This window comes from Homo sapiens, chromosome 3, assembly GCF_000001405.40.
Source record: "Homo sapiens chromosome 3, GRCh38.p14 Primary Assembly".
In the NCBI taxonomy this organism is placed as follows: Eukaryota; Metazoa; Chordata; class Mammalia; order Primates; family Hominidae; genus Homo; species Homo sapiens.
Window position 1 is genome coordinate 149,803,233 of NC_000003.12, and position 24,810 is coordinate 149,828,042.

The window sequence follows — 24,810 nt, forward strand, 5'->3', positions numbered from 1 at the left end:
GTACATGTGCACATTGTGCAGGTTTGTTACATATGTATACATGTGCCATGTTAGTGTGCTGCACCCATTAACTCGTCATTTAGCATTAGGTATATCTCCTAATGCTATCCCTCCCCCCTCCCCCCACCCCACAATAGTCCCCGGTGTGTGATGTTCCCCTTCCTGTGTCCATGTGTTCTCATTGTTCAATTCCCACCTATGAGTGAGAACATGTGGTGTTTGGTTTTTTGTCCTTGCGACAGTTTGCTGAGATTGATGGTTTCCAGCTTCATCGATGTCACTACAAAGGACACGAACTCATCCTTTTTTATGGCTGCATAGTATTCCATGGTGTATATGTGCCACATTTTCTTAATCCAGTCTATCATTGTTGGACATTTGGGTTGGTTCCAAGTCTTTGCTATTGTGAATAGTGCCGCAATAAACATATGTGTGCATGTGTCTTTATAGCAGCATGATTTATAATCCTTTGGGTATATACCCAGTAATGGGATGGCTGGGTCAAATGGTATTTCTAGATCTAGATCCCTGAAGAATTGCCACACTGACTTCCACAATGGTTGAACTAGTTTACAGTCCCACCAACAGTGTAAAAGTGTTCCTATTTCTCCACATCCTCTCCAGCACCTGTTGTTTCCTGACTTTTTAATGATCACCATTCTAGCTGGTGTGAGATGGTATCTCACTGTGGTTTTGATGTGCATTTCTCTGACGGCCAGTGATGGTGAGCATTTTTTCATGTGTTTTTTGGCTGCATAAATGTCTTCTTTTGAGAAGTGTCTGTTCATATCCTTTGCCCACTTTGTGATGGGGTTGTTGGTTTTTTTCTTGTAAATTTGTTTGAGTTCATTGTAGATTCTGGATATTAGCCCTTTGTCAGATGAGTAGATTGCGAAAATTTTCTCCCATTCTGTAGGTTTCCTGTTCACTCTGATGATGGTTTCTTTTGCTGTGCAGAAGCTCTTTAGTTTAATTAGATCCCATTTGTCAATTTTGGCTTTTGTTGCCATTTGTTTTGGTGTTTTAGACATGAAGTCCTTGCCCATGCCTATGTCCTGAATGGTATTGCCTAGGTTTTCTTCTAGGGTTTTTATGGTTTTAGGTCTAACATTTAAGTCTTTAATCCATCTTGAATTAATTTTTGTGTAAGATGTAAGGAAGGGATCCAGTTTCGGCTTTCTACACATGGCTAGCCAGTTTTCCCAGCACCATTTATTAAATAGGGAATCCTTTCCCCATTGCTTGTTTTTGTCAGGTTTGCCAAAGATCAGACAGTTGTAGATATGCAGCATTATTTCTGAGGGCTCTGTTCTGTTCCATTGGTCTATATCTCTGTTTTGGTACCAGTACCATGCTGTTTTGATTACTCTGGCCAGGGCAATCAGGCAGGAGAAGGAAATAAAGGGCATTCAATTAGGAAAAGAGGAAGTCAAATTGTCCCTATTTGCAGATGACATGATTGTATATCTAGAAAACCCCATCGTCTCAGCCCAAAATCTCCTTAAGCTGATAAGCAACTTCAGCAAAGTCTCAGGATACAAAATCAATGTGCAAAAATCACAAGCATTCTTATACACCAATAACAGACAAACAGAGAGCCAAATCATGAGTGAACTCCCATTCACAATTGCTTCAAAGAGAATAAAATACCTAGGAATCCAACTTACAAGGGATGTGAAGGACCTCTTCAAGGAGAACTACAAACCACTGCTCAATGAAATAAAAGAGGATACAAACAAATGGAAGAACATTCCATGCTCATGAGTAGGAAGAAGCAATATCGTGAAAATGGCCATACTGCCCAAGGTAATTTATAGATTCAATGCCATCCCCATCAAGCTACCAATGACTTTCTTCACAGAATTGGAAAAAACTAGTTTAAAGTTCATATGGAACCAAAAAAGAGCCTGCATTGCCAAGTCAATCCTAAGCCAAAAGAACAAAGCTAGAGGCATCACGCTACCTGCCTTCATTCTTTTAATGTAGTGTATCACATTTATTGACTTGCATATATTGAATCATCCTTGCATCTCCGGGATAAATCCCACTTGATTGTGGTGTATGGTTCTTTTAATATGCTGTTGAATTTGGTTTGCTAGTATTTTGTTGAGGATTTTTGCATCCGTGTTAATCAGGAATATTGTTCTGTAATTTTCTTTTCTTGTAATGTCTTTCTCTGGCTTTGATATCAAGGTGAGACTGGCCTCATAAAATAAGTTTGGAAGTATTCCCTGCCTTTCTATTTTTTGGAAAAGTTTGAGAAGGATTGATATTTATTCTTCTTTAAATGTCTGGTAGAATTCACCAGTGAAGTCAGGTCCTCGGCTTTTCTTTGATGGGATTTTTTTCTTATTTGTGCAAATGTATAGGGTACATGAGCTATTTTATTACATGTATGTAATGTGCAGTGATGAAGTCAGGGTATTCAGGGTGTCTGTCACCAAAATATGATACATTTTTGTTAAGTATAGTCATCCTACTCTGCAATCAAACATTGAATTTATTTCTTCTATCTTACCATATGTTTGTACTCTTTAACCCACTTCTCTTTAACCTCCTCCTTTCCTACTCTACTCATCCTTCCCAGTCTCTTTGATCTGGTTTTACACTCTCCCTCCATGTGTCCAGATATTTCACCTCCTTCATATAAGTGAGAACTTGCGATATTTGTTCTTCTGTGCCTGGCTTATTTCACTTAAGATAATGACTTCCTGTTTCATCCACTTTGTTACAAATGATATGATTTCATTCTTTTGAATGGCTGAATAGTATTCCACTGTGTATACATATTTTCTTTATCCATTCATCCATTGTTGGGCACTTAGGTTGATTCCATATCTTTGGTATTGTGAATAGTGTTACAATAAACATACAAGTTCAGGTATCCCTTTGTTATAATGATATATTTTCCTTTGGGTCGATACTCAGCAGTGAAATTGCTGGATCAAACATTTAGTTTTTTTGAGAAATCTCCATACTGTTTTCTATAGTGGCTATACAAGTTTACATTCTCACCAAGAGTATATAAGAGTTCCCTTTTCTCCACATGCCCACTAACAATTGTTATTTTTTGTCTTTTTAACAATTGCCATTCTGACTGAGGTAAGATGATATCTCATTGTGGTTTTGATTTTCATTTCCCTGATGATTAGTGGTGTTGAGCATTTTTTTCATAAACCTTTTGGCTATTTTTATGTCTTCTTTTGAGAAGTATCTATTTGTGTCTCTTGCTCACTGTTTAACTGAGTTATTTGTTTCTTTCTTTTTTTCCTATTGAGTTCCTTGTATATTCTGGATATTAGTCCCCTGTTGGACAGTTTGCAAATACTTTCTCCCATTCAACAGGTTGTCTCTTCATTCTGTTGATTATTTCTTTTGCTGTGCAGTGGCTTTCTAGTTTAATTAAGTCATGAGAGATTTATGATTACTGATTCAATCTCCTTCCTCGTTATTGGTCTGTTTAGATTTTCTGTTTCTTCGTGATTCAGTCTTGGTAGGTTGTATATTTCTAGGAATTTATGCATTGCTTCTAGGTTATACAATTTGTTGACTTATAATTGTTCATAGTATTCTATTAGGCTGCTTTGTATTTCTGTGGTATCAGTTATAATCTCTTCTCTTTCATGTCTGATTTTATCTTTCTTTTTTTCTTAGTCTAGCTAAGGTTTGTCAATTTTGTTATTTTTTCAGAAAAAAAATCTCTGAGTTTCATTGATCTTTTCTATTGCTTTTCTAGTGTCTATTTGATTTATTTTTGTTCTGATCTTTGTTATTTCTTTGTTTTTAATAACATTGGGCTTTGTTCTTTTTCTAGTTCCTTGAGGTGTAATGTTAGGTTGTTTATTTGAGATCTTTATGTTTTCTTTATGTAGGTGTTTATCACTATAAAATTTACTTTTAGATTTTCTTTTGCTGCATTCCATGTGTTTTAGTATGTTGTGTTTCCATTTTTAGTTATCTTAAGATGTCTCCTTATTTTCCTTTTGATTGATTTTTTTGACCCATTGCTTGTTCAGGAGTATGTTGTTTAATTTTCACAAGTTTTCCTCCTCACTGATTTCTAATTTCGTGCCATTGTGTCAAGAAAAGATACTTGGTATGATTTCAATCCGTGGCCTAACATGATCAATTGTGGAGAATGTTCCATGTGTACTTAAGAAGAATGTATATTCTGTTGCTGTTGGATAAAATGCTCTATATATGTGCGTTAGGTCCAGTTGGCCAAAGTGTAGTCCAAATCTACTATTTCCTTATTGATTTTTGGTCTGGATGATCTATCCATTGTTGAAAGTGGGGTATTGAAGTCTCCTCTTGTTGTTCTATTACTGTTTCTCACCTGGGAACATATATTTACAATTCTTATAGCTTCTTTTTTTTTTTCTTTTTCTTTTTCTTTTATTCTTTTTTTTTTTTTTTTTTTTTTTTGGGACAAAGTCTCTGTCTCCCAGGCTGGAGAGCAGTGGTACAGTCTCAGCTCACTGCAACCTCCGCCTCCCGGGTTCAAGCAGTTCTCCTGCCTTAGCCTCCTGAGTAGCTGGGACTACAGATGCACGCTACCTCACTGGGCTAATTTTTGTATTTTTGGTAGAGACGGGGTTTCACCATGTTGGTCAAGCTTATCTCAAACTCCTGACCTCAAGTGATCTGCCCACCTCGGCCTCCCAAAGTGCTGGGATTACAGGCGTGAGCCACCGCGCCCGGCCTCTTACAGCCTCTTAATGAATTGACTTTTTTTTTTTAAACATTATATAATGCTTATTTGTTTCTTTTTATGGCTTTTCACTTAAAGTTTATTTTGTGTGATACAAGAGTAGCAATCCCTGCTCTTTTTCTGTTTTTTATTTGCATGGAATATCTTTTTCCATCTCCACACTTTAAGCCTGTGTATGTCCCTAAAGCTGATGTGAGTTTATTATAGGGAGCATGTAACTGGGTCTGTTTTTTTTAAAATCCATTCAGCTACTCTATGTCTTGATTGGAGAATTAAATCCATTTCCCATTCAGAGTAATTATTGATAGGTAAGGACTTACTATTGCCATTTTGATAATTGTTTTCGGCTATGGGTCTCATGGACAGTGTTCCACATGGCTGGGAGAGACATGAGCTCACTCACTAAGCTCTCACTTTTCCTGTGGGTGAAATCGCTGGCCAAGGGAGGTCTCTCTTGGCACTGAGCTCTGCCACCTAGTGGAGGCAGTGATGCAGGAAAAGCAAAACTATTCTTAGCCACTTCAATTTATCTGTTATGAAAATTTTTATTTTTTATTTTATTTTTGAGACAGAGTCTTGCTGTGTCCCCCAGGCTGGAGTGCAGTGGTACTATCTTGGCCCACTGAAACTTCTGCCTCCTGGGTTCAAGCGATTCTCCTGCCTCAGCCTTCTGAACAGCTGGGATTACAGGTGTGCGTCACTACACCCAGTTAATATTTTTGTGTTTTTAGTAGAGACAGGGTTTCACCATGTTGGCCAGTCTGGTCTCAAATTCCTGGCCTCAAAAAACTTCAACAGTTTGCTGGAACTTCTCCACTGGACTCCTGGACTTCCACAAAAGTACTCTCATCTGGAGGTAGTTTTCAAAATGGATGCTTCTGCAGGGCAATGACAGTAAAGAGCTCCTATTTCACCATCTTGCTGATGTCACTTATTCCATCTCATTTTGAATTTGCCATTTAAAATACCTTTTATTTGCTTCTTCCCATCTCTCCTTTTCTGCTTTATATTGCATATTGTTTTCTTTATTCCTTTATTCCCTTTTTATGTCTACTGGTTTGGAAATCATACTCAATATCTTTGGTCTCCATACTTTTTTTTGCATCTCTTTTTTCTGGGTTTGATTTTCATTTTTCTAAAGATATTCTTTACAAGTTCTGTTAGTAGAAGTCTGTTAGTGGTAAAAGCTGATTTTCCCTAAAAATGTCTTTATTTTGCCCTCACTCTTAAATGACAGCTTAACTAGGCATATAATTCTAAACTGACAGTTGTAACTATTTTATTTTAGCATTTGAAGATATTATTTAACTCACTTTTAGTTTCTTTTGTAGCTACTAAGAAGTCTGGGCCGGGTGCGGTGGCTCAGGCCTGTAATCCAAGCACTTTGGGAGGCTGAGGCAGGAGGATCACGAGGTCAGGAGATCGAGACCATCCTGGCTAACACGGTGAAACCCCGTCTCTACTAAAAATACAAAAAATTAGCCGGGCATGGTGGCGGGTGCCTGTAGTCCCAGCTACTCGGGAGGCTGAGGCAGGAGAATGGCATGAAGCCGGGAGGCGGAGCTTGCAGTGAGCCGAGATCGCACCACCGCACTCCAGCCTGGGCGACAGAGCAAGACTCCATCTCGGGAAAAAAAAAAAACAACTCAGCTATCAGCTGTCACTCCTTTGTAAGTATTTTATCTTTTTTTGTTTGTTTAAAACGTTTTATTTTTCTTTGATCCTCTTTAAATTTTATTACAATGTGCCTAAATATGAATTTATTTTGTGTTTCTTTAGGGTATATTCCTTGGATTGAATTGCTATGTCATAGAAAATTTTCTTTTTCACCCTCCCTAGACAATTTCAAATTGTTTGCTAATGTGATTATGTCAGTTCACACCCCAATGACTTCTTCCATCTTTATATTGCATTATGTCATATGACTTTTTGCATGCTTATTTTGTAATTCCTTTGTTAGCAAACAGAGGAAAACTGGTTCTCAGTGTGCAAAGGAAAAGTTGAATTTGCATGTTGGTCATCTCAGATATACAGAGAAGTAACTCATCCCACATAAAACAATGACTAGATCATTTTTAAGGCATTGAACATTAAGCACACCTCTTTTTGCCTGATCTTTCTCAACTCCTTGAAAATAAATTGGATAAACTTTGTTGAAAAACCCTCTGACTGATATGTATCGCCTTAGGTTCTGAACTTTTCACTTTTTATCTTACTTAATGAACCCATTCATTAATTTGGAACTTGGCAAAGAAATTAGAATCTTTTAGAATCTTTGGCTAAAAGTTCCCTGATGCTATTTGTAGAAATTCTGTTTGGTACTTTTCAAAATTGCTTATTTCATACACATATAAATTCTTTATGGATCTTATTCTTTCTTTTAATAGTAATAATTTTATTTTGTTTTCAAAATGAAAATACCTTTTTTCTGATTCTAAAATTACTTTTTTTCTGTTTCTAAATATGATAATATATAGAATTGTTTAAGGTTTCTGATTAATCTCTGTGCTTAAGGAGACAGCCTGCATTCTTTCTGGTATTTAGGGAGAACTATTTCTAAGCCATTTCAGACAATTACATAATTGGGTATCTGTCTTTTTTTGTTGTTGTTGCCTTACAATATTTTGGAAGCAGGAGATTCTACAATTACTTTTACGTGCTATCTGTTTGTACTTTTTAGGAAGGTTTAAAAAAAAAACCTGTTAGATACAACACCCTAAAAGCACATTTTGATTTTTAAAAAGATAATTAGTGGTATATTAGTATCACGTGCCTTATTAACCCTTCATGTTCTTGAAAATTGTAATTATGATATCTGTCAATCTTACTGTCTAATCTGCTTTAGAAAGATTAATACATTTTTCCAATATATTTTTTTCCAATTTACCTTTTTCAGCACAGGTTGGGAGAGTAAATGTTTTTGCAGAGTGTAGCCTAAATGCAGTACAAATGACACATTACCTTGTTCATAGTTGAGAGAACTATACCTATTGTTATCTGAAGAGCAGGTTGAAACCAGAAGTAAAATATTCTGTACTCAAGGTGCCTTTAAGGAATAAGCAAAGCTCTTTGTCTGAGCGTGGTGACTCATGCCTGTAATCCTAGCACTTTGGGAGACCGAGGCAAGAAGATCCTTTGAGGCCAGGAGTTTGAGACCTGCCTGGGCAACATAGCCAGACTGTAAGGCTAAAAAAAATAAAAAAATTAGCCAGGCCTGGTGGCACATGCCTGTAATCCTAGCTACTCCAGAGGTTGAGGTGGGAGGATTACTTGAGCCCAGGAGTTCTGGACTGCAGTGAGACATGATCTCACCACTGCACTCCAGCCTGGGCAACAGAGTGAGACCTTGTCTCTAAAATAAATAAAAATAAAACAACAAAACCCAAAGCTCCTCTCTGTGGACTTAATTTTTTTTTTTTTTTTTGGAGATGGAATCTTGCTCTGTTGCCTATGCCCGAGTGCAGTGGTGGGATCTCAGCTCACTGTAACCTCTGCCTCCCATGTTCAAGCGATTCTCCTGCCTCAGCTTCCCAAGTAGCTGGGATTACAGGTGTGCACCACAATGCCCGGCTAATTTTGTATTTTTAGTAGAGACGAGGTTTCACCATGTTGGCCAGTGTGGTCTTGAACTCCTGACCTCAAGTGATCCGCCTGACTTGGCCTCCCAAAGTGCTGGGATTACAGGCATGAGCCACCGCACCCGGCCTAAAAAAATTTATTTTGATGTTATGCAAGAAATCTGATTTAATATACCAATTTGGGATAATTTAATGAAAAAAATGCTTATAGAGATATTATAAATGTGTTTATACTAATTAGTCTTCTTAGTAATATTCCCAATGCTGACTTTTATTTATGACTTTCTTAAAGGCAGAATTGTGATTTAAGTATTGAATGTCTTTGCAACCAATGAAAAGTTAAGACTACATAGAATACTCATAGGATACACAGAAGAGGAAAGTACCTTTGATAGCTTTTATTTAATTTTTTAAAATTTGATCTTAAATTTCTTGTATTTGAATTTTATTTGAGTAGGTAATATTTGCAAGGTTCAAAATTCAAAAGGCACAAAAGGATACACAATAAGGAAAGAGTCTTTTCCCCATTGCTGTGTCCCACCTACTCAGGGCTCTCCAAGCAATCAAAGTGACAAGTTACATCCAATGGTATTCTACTAATACTCTGTGTGATAGCCTCCTCGCCACCATTTTTAAAAGATGATGTTGAAGGAGTTGAAGCCTGTAAAGGCCTTATTAAGGGTGCCTTATTATTTGAAGCAGAAGTAGTGCCTGATTCTATGTCTCCTGACATTTCTTTCAGGACTCTGTAATATTTGCCTAAGTCACACTGCTTTTGTAAGGTGGCGAGTTGGCAATGATTAATCAATGTGGATGGTACAATCCGGTAATTTAAGTTTCGACTGGTTTAAGATTGAGACAACCAGAAAGGAAGGCTTATCAGAAGGGCGGCAGGGGAGGAGATTTTTGGTTCATCAAAAGGAGGCAAGGGTTTTAAAAGGCTGACCTAGGGCCTGAATCACATGGTTTGACTTTTGCTAAGCCCCGGGGATGGCGCGTGTCAGGCCCAGAGTGCTGATGCCAGCGTGGATCCGAGCCAGGCCTCAGGGGACTGGCGTTCAGACCTCGGGCCGCTCGCATCTCTAACAATTTGAGCCCTACTTTAAGGTGTGGCCACGGTCCCCACCCACTCTGATCTCAGACTGGGCACGGTACGGAAGGCGGGCGGATGAGGCCTCGCCCTCGCCTCTTTAGTAGGTCGGGTGAGTGTAGTGTGCAGGGAAGAGACGCGTCAGCGCCAGGGCCAGGCCCGCCCGGGGGCAGCCCGGCAGCCGAATCTTGGGCTACTCTGTCCCAACAGCCGGAGCAGATCAGACCGACCGGCCCTGCCCGCTCGGTCCCGCGCCCTCCAGACCCTACGGTCTCCGTTTCTAGGGGCACATGGTTAGCGGCAGGCGCCCACAGCCAATCCACTTTGCCAGCCTGCCCCTTCCTCTGCCAAGAGCAGCTTCTTCAGCCGCGCTCCAGTTCCGCAGACGCCTGCCCCACCCTGCTCTTCCCTTCCAGGGAAGACGGATCACGCGGCCAAGAACGAGACTCGCAAACTGGGCATTTCTCCGAGCCGGGCTAGAGCAAGTAGCGAGACTCCGCGTGAGAGTGGGAAAGAGCCTTAACAGGCAACCATGTTGCCCAGTGGGTTTTCTGTGCCTTTGGGTGCGGACCAATGAGGCGCGTGGGGCGGGACTTCCGCTTCGCCTAGGTGTTGTCGTCCCTGCTAGTACTCCGGGCTGTGGGGGTCGGTGCGGATATTCAGTCATGAAATCAGGGTAGGGACTTCTCCCGCAGCGACGCGGCTGGCAAGACTGTTTGTGTTGCGGGGGCCGGACTTCAAGGTAAGACCCTGTCCGGCTTCGCGGCAGCCGGGCAGCTCGTTATCGAGCGGCCCAGAGAACATACCCCGCTTGTTGGCCCTCGAGCTCGGAGTCGGCCCTGCTGCTGAGGTCTTTGCTGCTCCTCTAGAGCTGGGTGAGAAGTCAATTAGGCTTTTTGCAAAAGGAATAAAATAGCCTTGCCCTCGGGGGACCGAGTCTCCCCTGCACTCTCATTCCGCGAGTTTGTGTGTGTCCAAAGTTGAGTTACCGGTTTTGCTTCTCTCATTCCCTTCTTGAGGCTGCAAGAGCCTGCCTGGAAAACATGTTTGGAAGGCTTTTCTTGGTCAAGTACCTGCCGCAACGTCCTCGGGCACATCGCTTGACTTTAGTTGAGGGGGCTGTTTTGTCTCTGAATAGAAGGAGGGCAGTCACTTCCTCTCTTTTACCCCCACCCCCTTTTTCTTTCCCTGGAAGCTCAGATTGCAGGTTTGGGACTTAACCCCTGCTAGGGCCAGATACTACGGTCAGTCAGCAGCTCTGCCTGTATGCTTGACTTGACTTGACTTGCACTTATTAAATAACTTTGTCCCAGAGAGAAAGAGAGAGTGGGCAGACATCGAAGCCAAACAGCAGTATCCCGGAAGCACTCATGCAACTTTGGTGGCGGCCACTCAGTTTTCTCTGCCAGTGTCTGGTAAATTCCTCTATTTTGTCCTAATCTGACAATAGTAAATAGTAAATTTCCAAAACTGTCGTTTCATCATCAGTTTCAGCACCGTGGGCAGCTGCTCGGGTCCTCTCTTGTTGCCCCAAACCTGCCCGGCTATTACTGTTCGTCAGTGATGCAGCAGAAACAGTGAAAACTGATGCATTCCTTTCAACAATGATGTGTTTGTTCTCCAAGGAGAACATCTGCAGTTTTTGATACAATATAAATAAGTAAGGTGGCTGTGCCTCCAAAGAGTTCTTCTGGAGAAACAGATCAATTCAAGATTTAAGGTAGGGCTTTCAAGAGTTTATGCTATTTAAGCACAGTTTTTTAATGGGTGGACATTAGCTCCATCTCGAAGTAACAAAACTGGACAGTGATAGCAATTAAAAAGAACTTTAAACAGGAGGTAAGAAGTGTAGTGCAGTGCTGTAGTGCAGGAAGTGTAGTGCAGTGCTGTAGTGCAGGGCCCATAAGGATTCATTAATAGATTTTAGAATCAATTTAGTACATTGACATAAGCTTTATAAAGAAAGAAAAAATACCAGAGGACATTGTATGGAATAAAAGTAAATATTATGGCAAGAAGCTTTTGTTTCAGTTTTTAACAGTATGTGTGTGTCAAGAGGAAGATGGAAATGTAAAGTGTATTATGGATTATGGCAAAAACAAATGTTTCAAAATACTAAATTCCAAATTTGGGAGTCAAGCTGGGTTCAGCTCTGCCATTTACTAATTCTGTGACATTTTCCGTAAATAAGAAATGAGTTGTTATGAGGATTAAATGAAACAAAATTTGTCTATTACATAATTTTTTTTTGTTTTGTTGGAAACTGTTGGAGAGAGGCACAGTTATTTTTCTCTATGTAGGGAATGAGAACTGTTTTATTAGTTTTTTTTTTTTTAACCTCTGCCTTTGTTTGAAGCTAGGCAGCTTGACATCTTGTCTCTATGTGTAATGCAAATCATAGACAGAATCTTGGTTTGAGAGGTATAATACTGAAGGGTTTGGGATAAGTTCTCATCTATGCTTGTATAAAGCTAATTTTCTCAATAATTTTGGAGGGGCATAAATTGTTGCTAGCATTCAGCTTTCTTCCCTTGATATTTTTCTGCATTCCAGAATAACGTAGATTTATCAGAACTTTTACAGGCACTAACTTTAGCTAAGTGAGGGTAGGCCTGAGGGTATGACTAAAGGGATAGATTTATGTCTTTGAGTTAAGTTGGCTAGGAAGGCATTTTATGCCTTATAGTTCTTGCCATAAGAGATGTATGAAATGAAATAGTTTGGTCAACTATCATGGTATGTTTTGCTTACTTCATGTAGGTGTGACCTAGAAATGGTTGGCATTTAAATAACAATATTTTTAAATCTGGGAATTGATGTTTAGCAGGAGGCAAATGAGTTTCAGTCAAAACAGTGTTTTGCACCATTTGTCATGTTTACCATATGGCATTGCATATGATAGTTTCACATGACATAAAAAGGGGAAGAAAGTTGGTAAGCATTGTTACTTTTCCCAAAAGAGGAAACAAAATTAGAAGCGAATTCCTTTTAATAAAGCATACTGGTGAGTCATTGTTCAAAAATGTATGTATTCTATAGATATTTATTGAGCATATATAAAAGTAAAATATTAAACTTTTATGAATCTTTTACATTACACAAAAGTTGATTTGGGAACAACACAGCATATGATTGGTATTGTCAAAGTTTATATAGCATAGTATATCAACAACAACAAAACAGTAATGTAGCTAATATTGATTGGTTAATATGAGCCAAATACAATTCTAAGTGCTTTATAATATCTCAGGTGGTTCTTACAGTCATTGATGTGGTAGATAGTAAGTTGTTTCCTTTTTATTTTTTTTTGGGACAGGGTCTTGCTCTGTTGCCCAGGCTGGAGCAATTATGGCTCACTGCACCCTCGACCTCCCGTGCTCAAGGGATCCTCCTATCTTAGCCCGACAAGTAGCTGGGACTACAGTCATAAACCCCCATGCCTGGCTAATTAAATTTTTTTTTTTTTTTTGTAGAGACAAGGTCTCATTATGTTGCTCAGTCTGGTATGAAACTTTAGGGTTCAAGTCATCCACCTGCTTCAGCCTTCCAAAATGCTGGGATTACAGGTGTGATACATCATGCCTGTCTTATCCCCATTTTCTAAGTGGGAAGTGGGGGAATTAAGGCATCACAGATACATAACTTCTGAGTTCACACAAGTAGCTGGTGGAGTAGCTGGAATTTGATCACAGGTATTCTGACTACAGAACGTCTGTCTCTTTTGTGTCTTATTTCATTAAAAAATATGGAATGCTGTGGGGCTATTGTGGATTCGTACTTGCTGGTGACCTTGGGGAAGCTCCTCCTCAATTTCCTTAACTCCTTCCTTACTTGTTTTTGTGGGGATTCAGATAATTTGTGAAGCAATCAGATGGCGTATATGTTTAGTAAATTATATGCCTTAGCCTTTTTTTTTTTTTCATTGAGGATGAGGTCATTTGAAAGATTGTTAGCAGTTGAAGGAGGGTGGAAAAAAAAAAGTTCCACATAAGGACACTGCCCAAGCAAAGGTATAGAGATAGGAAAAGCAGAATACATTTGGTAAGGATATATGTTTAAGGACCAGACTGGTAAAGATAGATGGATACAGATTATGGAGATTCTTAAATGTCAGACTAAAGATTTTATATATGATTTTTAGTTAAGAAGAAACTCTCTTTATGGATAATAATTTGTGAACAGGTCCAATGGAAGAGTGGAAGCCTAGAAGTAGGAATACCATGCAATTTAATTATAGTAGTTGAGGCAAGAAGTGATGATCGTAGTGAAGGTATAGATTTGAAAGATGTTGACATTATAATGACATTGACACTGGGAACTGACCAGAGTATAGGCCTAGGACAAATTTTTGGGAGGATAGTGATGTTATTAACAGAAATAAGGATATTATCATGAAGAACAGGTTTTGGTGGAAGGAGATTTAGGAGGAGAGAGGATGATAGGGAGTTTACTTTTGGAGCTGAGGAGTTGTTCAGACGTTTGGAAATGTAGAATGAAAACTGGAAGTTCTGTGTATTCTATGAAAAGGGAAGAGAACAAATGCTTACATTGTAAGGAAATGACCTAAAAGTAACCACTCCTCTGTGGGTCAGAGTTTCACAAGAGGGATGTGACTCCTTAAATTACTCACAAGTACAGATTTCTCAATGAAGATGCACCCATTATTTTTCCCTTTAGTGTATTTTGATTCGTGTCCTGGGAGATCAGGAGGTAAGGTAGTGGGGAGGAAAAACTTTTAGACCTAGCAAGGCTCCCATTTATTCAAAAAATAGCTAGTAAATTGGAGGCTAGGGATTCTCACCGTAAGAATTTTGAGAGTCTGATTTTTGTGTGGTACCAGGCATTTATAAACATATGTTGAATGCTGAATTGTTGAACATTTGAACATCTCCAGATTTGTTATTTTTATTATCCTGTCTTTGTTACCTTGAATTGGTTAATAGCAAAACCTTTAGAATCAGAGACTCTGTGTGCTTGTTATGGGGGGCAACAATGAAAGTCAGGGTGCAGCTAATGAGATTGTATTTTACTTATAGCCAGGATTGTGGAAGAAGACACTCAAAGGATAAGAGGCTTACCATTTTTCCCATTCTGTAAAACCATGTTGATGACAATACCAATTCTGAGAGTTGTTTTGAAATACTGAGTTAATATATGAAAAGGGTCTGGTACATGATAGATAGTAATTGAGATGTTTTTGTTACCAGTATTATTATCTTCACAAGTGGGGGGCAAACACAGAGATCCCAGAACCTATTATAAGAAAAAAAGGAAAACATCTGGAGACCCTTTGTACTTGAAAAAGGGCTCAGGACTAAGTCATAGAAGGACTGTAGGTTTCCTTTCTTGGAAGGTTTTCTAGGGTTTGGTACAATTGGGTAGAGCATGATGTTGAATTAAGTAGTAAAATATATCCATCTCAACTATTTTCAGTTTCCTGTCAAGTTCTCAGTAAACCAACAGAAAAATGTTGTTGAGCATGAGAAGAAGGTTTACTTTTCTTGTCATACCATTTTTGGAAACATTACTTGGATCCTACTACTTAGGGGTTTTTCTGTAGCATTTATTCACTCAAATATTTGTTGAGTACCTTCTTTGTCAGGCACTGTTCTAAAGAGAAAAATCCTTGCCTGCATGGAGCTTATCTGCTAATGGGAGAAATAAGGTGCATTTTCATAATAGACGGTAATTAGATTTTTCTCGTACTATGTATTTGTACCTATTTAAGCAGATGGTAATAATGAATACTATACCAGATTGTAACTAATTTTGCAGAGCATTTGAAGGAAGGGACCATGTCTTTCTTATTCGCATTTGTCTCTCCCTTTTCCCCTTCCTCCCAGTGGAATGGCTTAGATGTGTTTAATGCTCAACAAACGTAGGTACTCATCAAATGTTTATTACAGGGAGAAGGTGTTAAGGCAGAGGCTACATCTTAAAGATTAAAGGAGTCAGTTAAATGTGGCATGTATTAAGGACCCATATACCCCCTAGATTGAGGGTGAGAAGAAGAGAATCCGGCTGGGCACTGTGGCTCATGTCTGTAATCCCAGCACTTTGGGAGGCTGAGGTGGGCAGATCACTTGAGACCAGAGTTCGAGGCCAGCCTGGGCAACATGGTAAAACCCCATTTGTACTAAAATACAGAAATTAGCCAGATGTGGTGGCGTGCTCATGTAATCCCAGTTACTTGAGAGGCTGAGGCAGGAGAATTGCTTGTACCTGGGAGGCGGAGGTTGCAGTGAGCCAAGACCGCGGCACTGTACTCCAGCCTGGGTGACAGAGCGTGACTCTGTCTCAAAAAAATAAAATAAGATAAAAATAAAAAGAGAATCCCCTGGCTTATCTATGAGGTTGGAATAGGAATAAAGTTATATTGTAGCTGAAAGCATCAACATTATGGGAGTCTGGGTGTCACCCAACATTCCCACTAATTAGCTGGGTGATTTTGCATAAATATCTTAACCTCTCAGTTCATTTCCTCACCTGTAAATGAAGTAGTTGGAATTGTCCAGTTAAAATCTGTTTTTACGACTTCTTGTAAAATATCTCTTGCACTAATGTTTCACTTCACTAACGTAGATAATATAGAGCCAAGCATGAGCTTCCATTGAATAAGCATCAAGCTAAATATATACTCTTAGTTAATAAACTAATGTTTAAGAAAAGATGTCTACAAAATTTGTTGATGCTATTTACCGGTAAGATTACATTGTAATTTTTTAAAATAGAGCAAAATATTACCTAATATATAGTTTCCCCCATTGCCATTATGTAAAGGAAAAATAAGCCATAGTATTTTAGACCTTAATAATGGATCATAATACTCACTTTCATACTTTAATTTATACAACAGTCACTTGCCTCTGATATTGTGCTAGATGCTAGGTATTGTATACAGAATTAGAAAATGTATAGCTCCTAACTTTAAGGAGCTTAAGGAATAATGGGAGTGACAGACCATTTAGTTGTGTTGCATTTTGGTGGCATAGAGAAGCATATAATGAGAGTCTGGGAGAAGAGAAAGTGCTCATGGTTACAGAGAAAAAGACTGGAGGAATGGCAAGGGACTAAGCTAAATATACAGAGACGAGCCAGTTTATGAAGAACTTTGTGCTAAACCACAGTTTAGTTCTGAGCTGTATTCTGAAAACTGCTTAATCTGTTAAGGAATTTTATGCAGGCAGTAACATAATCAGGCATTTTTATATCTACCTTTATATTCCTTTTAAGAGAAGGTGTTCCCTGAGGAAGGTATTTGTTATTTCTAGTTGTTTCAACGATGTAGATCTTCCTGAGGAAATCAGTCTTTTTAACTTTGAAATAAAGTCTGAGGAACATTGTCAATTTTGTGGTTATAGAGTTAATAATTATTAAATATTAATAATTATGAAATATTCAGACATTAAAACATTTAAATGTTTATTGCCACATTAATGTAAACTGAAAAGAAAACTGAAATTTTGGGATGTTTTGCGCTTTGATGTAAGAGAGCTCTTGGTCAGCTACAAGAATTTGGCTTAGAATCATTTTTAAGGAGTTAGAAATACGTTGACCTTGAATTGATTGAAAGTGAATGTAGTTCAGGCTCAGTTTCTTTCTTTCTTTTTTTTTTGTTTTTTTAAAGAGACCGTCTTTTTCTGTCACCTGGTATGGTCTCAAACTCCTGGCCCCAAGCAATCCTCCCTCCTCAGCTTCCCAAAGTGCTGGGATTACAGGCGTGAGTCACCACTCCCTGCCCGGGCTCTGTTTCTAATGATAGAAATATCCAGGTAAACTTTATAGAGGGAATGAATTTCCACCGGGAAATAATCCTAGTGAGGAGCTGGTGATAAATGAATATTTCTGAATGAAGTCATGAGGGAGAAACATCTACTTTATTTAGATGTGAAACACCTCATTAAATGTTGAAGAATACTTTATTTGCATACTTACTATGTTTGTCATTTACTCTTTTGACCCTCAAAGAGGAAGAGCTGCTTATAATTTCCACATTTATCCAACATGGATTATAAATGTTAATTGCTTTTTTTGGAAAAAAAATTGAGGTAAAAATTCACGTAATTAACCATTTTAAAGCAATAGTTCAGTGGCATTTAGTACCTTTGCAGTGTTGTGCAACCATCACTTCTGTCTAGTTTCAAAACATTTTTATCACTTTGAAGTAAAATCTCATACCTATTAAGCAGTCATTCCCTGATGCCCCTAGCTCATGGCAACCACATCTGTTTTCTGTTTTTATGGATTTACTTATTCTGGATATTTTATATAAATTGAATTTTCAATATTTGAGTTTTTATCCCTGGCTTCTTTCACTTAGCAAAATGTTTTCAAGGTTTACCCACATGTAGCATATATCAGTACTTCTTTCCTTTTCATAGCAGAAGAATATTCCTTTCCATGTCAGAAGAATATTCCTTTCCATGTCTATATATCAGTTTGTTTATCCATTTATCCATCGATGGATATTTGGGTTGTTTCCACCTTTTAGTTATTATGAATATGTTGCTGTGAATATTTGTGTCCAAGGATTTATTTGAGAACCTGTTTTCACTTTTTCGGGTATATACCAAGAATGGAATGCTGGGTCTTATGGTAATTTTGTTTAGCTTTTTGAGGACCTGCCAAACTGCTTTCCACAGTAGCTAAACCATTTTACATTCCCACTGGCAATGTGTGAGGGTTCCAATTTCCCTACATCCTTGCCTACACTTATTTTCTGTTTTTAAGAAATTATAATTGCCATCCTTATGGGTATGAAGTGGTATCTCACTGTGGTTTTGATTTGCGTTTCCCAGATTACTAATGATTTTAAGCATCTTTTCATGTGCTTGTTGGCCATGTGTGTATCTGCTTTAGAGAAATGTCTATTCAAGTTCTTTGCCCTTTTAAAAAACTACATTGTTGGTGTTTTTGTATTGAGTTGTGTTTTTATATACTCCAGATACTAGACTGTTCATTATCAAATATATAATGTGCAAATGTTTTCTTCCATTATGTGGATTTTTTTTTTCAATTTTTTGATAATGTCCTTTGATAGATAAATGTTTTGAATTTTGATGAAGTCCATTTTATTTATTTGACCCATGCTTTTGGTGTCATATCAAGAATCCATTTCCAAATCCCAGGCCATGAAGATTAACCCTATGTTTTCTTCCAAGAGTTTTATAATTTTACTCCTTATATTTAGGTCACTGATTCATTTTGTGTTAATTGTTGTATATGGTATAAATTCCAACTTCATTGTCTTGCATGTGAATAGTTGTCCCGGCACCACTTGTTGAAGACACTGTTCTTTTGCCATTGAATGGTCTTTGGCATCTTTAAAATCAATTGGCTATAGATGTATCAGTTTATTTTTGGATGCTCAATTCTACTCCTTTGGTCTATATATCTATCACTATGCCAGTGCCATGTTGTTTTGATTACTGTAGCTTTGTGGTAAGGTTTTGAAATTGGGAAATGTGAGTTCTCCAGCTTTGTTCTTCTTTTTAAAAATTGTTTGGCCTGTTTAGGGCCCCTTGCAATTCCATATGAATTTGAGAATCAGCTTTTCCATTTCTGCATAAAAGGCCATAGAAATTTTGATAGGTAATATATTGAATCTGTAGATTGCTTTGGGTAGTATTGCCATCTTAATAATGTTAAGTCTTTGAGTACCTGGATGTGTGTTTGATATCCTTCAGCATTGTTTTTGTGTTTTATAGTTTTCGGTGTACAAGTCTCTCACCTCCTTTGTTATATTTATTCCTGGGTATTGTATTCATTTGGATACTATTATACATGGAAGTTTTTCTTAATTTAATTTTTGGATAGTTCATTGCTGGTATGTAGAAACACAATGGATTTTGTGTGTAACATTTATTGCCTTTAACAGTCATTTACTTTCTTTTTTCCATGTGCAAGCTGAATCACGTGGGTAAATAAGAAAGTGGAAAGTGGAACACTAAAGAACTTGATCTGTAAGATGTCTGATTTCCCTGAATGTGAAAACTATGAAATATGTTTTTAGCATAGTGTTGAACTATTATCTTACTATACTTGGGCTATTCCATTTCTGGTATCACGTTACATATATTTGGTCATTATTAAAGAAGGTAGATCATTTCATTTTCTTTAGGTTTGGAGAGAAGTGTCAATACGTAATTCATTTTCAAAGTTACAATTATTTTGCAACTTAATTTTGATGTTACACAGAAAGCCTCAGGGATAAACCATATTTATCGCAGAGTCTGGTACAGAGATCCATGAATAATAAAGATAAAATTAGAACAGAAGCTAATTTGAATATGTAAATTACCATTAATATACATTAGTTTTTCTGTTTTTTCTTGAAGTTTCCAAATAGCCTTAAAATTTCATTATGAATAGAAATGTGAACAATTTCAACCTCATAAGTAATTAAAGAAATGCAAATTTATGCAATACTTGGATGATTTGGGAAGGGCAGTATTTCATGACACAGACTTTTAATTGAATCCTAGCTTCACTATTTAAGAGGTAAGTATTACTGGGCAAGTAACTGAACACTTAAAACACTTAAAAATAAGAGGAAATATTTATAAAGTGCTTGCTGTGTGTTAGGCACTGTTTTAAGCACTTTATGCTGTTGATCTAAGTTTTTATTCCTATATTTATGGAAAGACAGTGGAACCTACTATAGAGTTGTGAGGATTAAAATAAATAATGTATATTAAGGACTTAGCCAGATATGTAGTAAGCATTTGATAAATATTAGCTATTTTTGTCATTTATAATTTCACCTAACACCAACAAAAGACCAAAAAAGGAGAATCGATACAATGAAATGCACATTTATTTGGAAATATAAATAGGAATGTTCTTTTCTGGAAAGCAATTGGGCAATATGTATGAAGTCTTAAAATGTTTCTTTGGTGTAGTGATTCCATGTCAAGGAATCTATCCCAAGAAGATAATCAGAAGTATGGAAAGATTTATATTCATTGGAAAATTATTTGTAATAGTAAGAGTTCAATTCAATGTTGTACAGCAAGAAAATAGACAAAGTCATGTGTCAGCCATATAAAGCAGTACAAAGTAGCTGTTAACATAGTGGTTATGAAGAGTTTGAACAACAAGGGAAAATCTTTGTTATAATTTCAAGTAAAAAAGCATACAAATCATAATACAATATGATACAAGTGATTACTTTGAACTTTGGAAGACATTATATTATTAAAATAAAATAACATGTTAAAATTTTGAAGTAGCTACGGAGTTAAAGTTGTAAAAACAATACAAAGACCTTTATGTTTTTTGTTATTTGAGAGAAAGTTGTTTCTCTGATGCTGTATATTCCTATAAACAACAATATTCTCTTTAAAGAAATGGCTGATTTCAGGGCTGGGGCAGGAAAAGTACAAGGCAGGACTGGAAAATCTTGTGCCAGAAAACAAGGAGGTGCTCAAGAATGTTGGGAACATATCAAAAAGACACAAAAGCTAGCTTGAATAAGCCTCCATTGGCCAAACAATTGGACATCAAAATGATAATACAATAGCAGATTATAACCCATTGAATAAAACAGTAATCTGTGATTCCACACTGATATAAATAAGTAAATGAATAAATTAGAATGTTGCCAAGAAATGTGATAATTACCGTGGTAGGCAGAATAATGACTGCCCAAAGATGTCCATATCATAATACTTGGAATCTGTGAATATGTTACCTTGTATGAGAAAAGGAACTTTGCAGATGTGATTAAGGACCTCGGGTTGGGAAGATTATCTGTGTGGGCCCAGTGTAATCACAAGTGTCCTTAAAAATGGAAGAGGGAGGCAGAAGAGGAGTTTGGAATAATGTGCTATAAGAAGGAATTAATCTGCCATTGCTGGCTTTGAAGATGGAAGAAGAGGCTACAAGCCAAGGATGTTGGCAGCCTCTAGAAGCTGATAAGTATAACAATCAAATTGTTGTATAATGTAAAACATTTTCATTTAAAAACATACATGAATAATATCCTAGACTAGAAAAAATATATGGTTTTTTTTTGTGAAAGGAAATGACCTCTGTCCTAGTTTTCCTTTGGGGCTTTTTTTTTTTAAAGATATACACACAAATATAGTTAGGTAGATTGATAAACACATACAGGATTATATGATTATGTCTAGTTAATGTCCATTTGTAAGTATGTCTGTATCAAAAAGCTCCAAAAGAACTAGGTCAGAGGTCATCCTCTTTTTTTTTTTTTTAATTTAACTTATTTTAAGTTCAGGAGTACATGTGCAGGTTTGTTATATAGGTAAACTTGTGTCATGGGAGTTTGCTGACTAGATTATTTCATCACCCACGTATTAAGCCTAGTACCTGTTAGTTATTTTTCCTGATTTTTTTTTTTTTTTTAAGATACAAAGTCTTTCCGTGTTGCTCAGGCTGGAGTGCACTGGCGATCATAGCTCACTGCAGCCTCAAATCCTGGGCTCAAGCAATCCTTCTGCCTTAGCCTTCTCAGTAGCTGGGACTATAGGTGCATGCCACCACACCTGGCTAATTTTTGTATTTTTTGTAGAGACAGAGTCTAGCTATGTTGCCCAGGCTCCAGCAACCCTTTTTTTTTTTTAAGGCTTAGTCTTGCTCTGTTGCCCAGGCTGGAGTGCAGTGGCACATTCTCTGCTCACTGTAACCTCTGCCTCCTGGGCTCAAGTGATTCAGCCTCCTAAGTAGCCGGGATTACAGGCACCACCACGCCTGGCTAATTTTTGTATTTTTAGTAGAGACAGGGTTTCACCATGTTGTCCAGGCTGGTCTCAAACTCCTGACCTCAGGTGATCCGCCTGCCTCGGCCTCCCGGAGTGTTGGGATTACAGGTATGAGCCACCATGCCCCGCCTCCAGCAACCCTCTTGATGCAGATGTTGTACATTCCAGGCCTGGTGCCTGCAGCTGTGCCCTGACTGCCTCTGCACACCTACCCATCAGCACCCCAGTGGGCTGTTTATTGTTTACCGGGCAACCTTGGACCAGCTCTGGTCTGGTCAACCCAGTGAGATTCTCTGTTACCTGGTGTGCTGCAACCACACCTGCTCCAGTGAAAACTGAATTTCAGCCTCAGGCTCTCTTCCAAGTTTGTCCCTTTGTAATGTCTCCCTCAGTGTTACTCTCTTATAGTTTAATAATTCCTTTTCTCTAAAAAATTGAAAACAGCTTTACTGACTTATAATTCACATACAATAAACTACATAAAAGTGTATACTTTGATAAGTTCTGATATATTTATATAATCATGAAACCACCTATATAATGAAGTTAATGAACATATTCATCACTCTTAGAAGTTTCCTGATGCCCTTTTGGAATCCCTCTCTCCTGCCCCTCCCTACCCCTCTTTGTATCTTTATATTTACTGTCCTATCATAGCTTAATAATCATTTATATTGAATACCTTTTGTTTAACTTACTGAATAGTTTCTCCTGTTTGAATCTCTACTGGTACACAATTGGTGTCTGGAGTGGCTCCAGCAGATAGATCTGAAATTCTGAGATTTTGGCATTTGGGTGGTTATGCCTTTGGGCCTGAGCGCAGTGCTGAGCTCCTTGTCAGAGGGAAATGGAATGCTGGTAATCCATGGCATCACAATTAATTAAGCTATCACCTGTGGTTGATTATAATGTGTTGCTAATGAATGCAGATGCCTCAGAGCCCAAGTGGCTGCTACATTTGACCTTTATGGCAATAATAACTGTAAGGACTATAGTGTAGGATAGAGTCTTTTGAGTATAATTAAAGGCTTACAGACAGAAAATGACTGCTCAGATTTGTTAACTCTGCTCAAGATCTGCCCTTTCTCTTTTTTGATCATATATTTTACTTCAAATCATTTCATCTCCTCCAAATTATGAATAAACTTGTGAATTAAAAGACTTGTTGCTTGCTCATTTAAGAAATATTTTGCTGTGTAAAAGTAATGCACACTTAGAAAACTTGAGCAAGTAGAACAGATTTCTCTTAATATTTTCGTGTATTTTCTTCTAGTCTCCTGTATATATTATGCAAAATGAAATAGTCTAGGGAGTTTTAGTTTTTTATTATGAAACATGCAGATAAATATAAAGAAGAATAAAAACCGCAGAGTCCCACCATCCAGAGCTTACATGATTCAGCAAATTAATTTATTATTTCATAGTATTTATGTTTCGTTTTGAGATAGGGTCTTGCTCTGTCACCCAGGCTGGAGTGCAGAGGTGCAATCTTGTCTCACTGCAACTTCTGCTTCCTGGGCTCAAACGATCCTCATGCCTCAGCCTCCTGAGTAGCTGGGACTACTTGTGCATGCCACTATGCCTAGCTAATTTTTGTATTTTTATGTAGAGACAGAGTTTTGCCATCTTGGCCAGGGTGGTCTTGAACTCCTGGGCTCAAGCAGTCCACCTACCTTAGCTTCCCAGAGTGCTGGGATTACAGGCATTAGCCACCATGCCTAGCCATATTTATATATTTTTAAATATTAACGTACAGTTGGCCCTCTGTATCCATGGCTCTGTATCTGTGGATTCAACCAGTATTCAAAATATTCAGGAAAAAAAATGGATGGTTGCATCTGTACTAAACATGTTAAACAATATGGTATAACAACTATTTACATAGCATTTACACTGTATTCAGTATTATAACTAATCTAGAGATGATTTAAAGTATATAGAAGGAGGTGCGTAGGTTATATGCAAATAGTATACCATCTGTGGTAAGGAACTTGACCATCCATAGATTTTAGTATGAGCGGGCAGTCCTGGCACCAGTCTCTCACAGACACCGAGGATGACTGTATATATAAACTATATATAAACTTTTAACATTTTTAATGTTACGGTCTTAAATTTTTTTTTTGAGCATAGAGGCTCTGCAGAAGATATCAAGAGAGGCTATGTAGGCATTCAGTCTATAAATATTAATATTAAACACCTAATACATTATAGGCACTCTTTAGGTACTTGTGATACATCCATAAAATAAAGATTCCTGTCTTTGAGGAGCATATGTTTTTGTGGCAAAGCTGAACACTAAACAATAAACATAACAAGTATTATAGTGTGATAGAAAGTCATATTATAATAAAAAAAGGAAAGATGATTATAAGAAGAGTGAGGCATGATAGGTGCATAGGCAGGCTGCAAACACTTGTCAAGGGAGAGTGTGGTGTCCAGAAAAGACCAAGAACAGGGCTGTGGGTGATGTTTTAAATAAACAGTTGTTATAGGCTGAGTGTGGTGGCTCATGCCTGTTATCCTAGCATTTTGGGAGGCCAAGGTGGGAGGATCGCTTGAGGCCAAGAGTTCAAGACCAGCCTGGGCAGCAAGGCAAGACCCTATCTCTCTATTTTTTTTTTTTTTTTAAAGAAACAGTTGTTATAATCAATGGGAATGCTGTAACTTGATCTGGTGCTCCACCATTAACATGGTAAGCCATGTTAA

The 24,810-nt window shown here is 37.8% G+C and overlaps 1 protein-coding gene across 16 annotated transcripts in view, besides 4 other annotated features; it reads left to right on the forward strand.

Annotated features, from left to right (window-relative positions):
- Nucleotides 4,970–5,264: an enhancer, noted in NCBI's record as "tiled region #5490; K562 Activating DNase matched - State 12:CtcfO". NCBI's record gives its function as "activates a minimal TATA promoter and a strong SV40 promoter by Sharpr-MPRA in K562 cells {active_cell/tissue: K562}" and the evidence as "EXISTENCE:reporter gene assay evidence [ECO:0000049][PMID:27701403]".
- Nucleotides 9,340–9,851: an enhancer, noted in NCBI's record as "H3K27ac-H3K4me1 hESC enhancer chr3:149530359-149530870 (GRCh37/hg19 assembly coordinates)". NCBI's record gives its function as "activates a minimal SCP1, AML or CMV promoter by ChIP-STARR-seq in primed H9 embryonic stem cells {active_cell/tissue: H9 hESC(primed)}" and the evidence as "EXISTENCE:reporter gene assay evidence [ECO:0000049][PMID:30033119]".
- Nucleotides 9,357–9,506: a silencer, noted in NCBI's record as "silent region_14808". NCBI's record gives its function as "represses an Ori minimal core promoter by ATAC-STARR-seq in GM12878 lymphoblastoid cells {active_cell/tissue: GM12878}" and the evidence as "EXISTENCE:reporter gene assay evidence [ECO:0000049][PMID:35858748]".
- The window catches only part of RNF13 (ring finger protein 13), a 149,452-nt gene continuing 134,097 nt past the window's right edge, over nucleotides 9,456–24,810 (forward strand). For 4 of the 16 annotated variants that reach the window (NR_165474.1, NM_001378290.1, NM_183381.3 and 1 more), the window contains exon 1: nucleotides 9,983–10,121. The gene's annotated coding sequence lies outside the window, so the exon portion shown is untranslated. Of the gene's footprint in view, nucleotides 10,255–10,692; nucleotides 11,100–14,054; nucleotides 19,342–24,810 lie in introns of those variants that run through there. The other 12 variants (NM_001378288.1, XM_047447379.1, NM_001378289.1 and 9 more) reach the window with 10 other exon arrangements.
- Nucleotides 9,717–9,826: an enhancer, noted in NCBI's record as "active region_20683". NCBI's record gives its function as "activates an Ori minimal core promoter by ATAC-STARR-seq in GM12878 lymphoblastoid cells {active_cell/tissue: GM12878}" and the evidence as "EXISTENCE:reporter gene assay evidence [ECO:0000049][PMID:35858748]".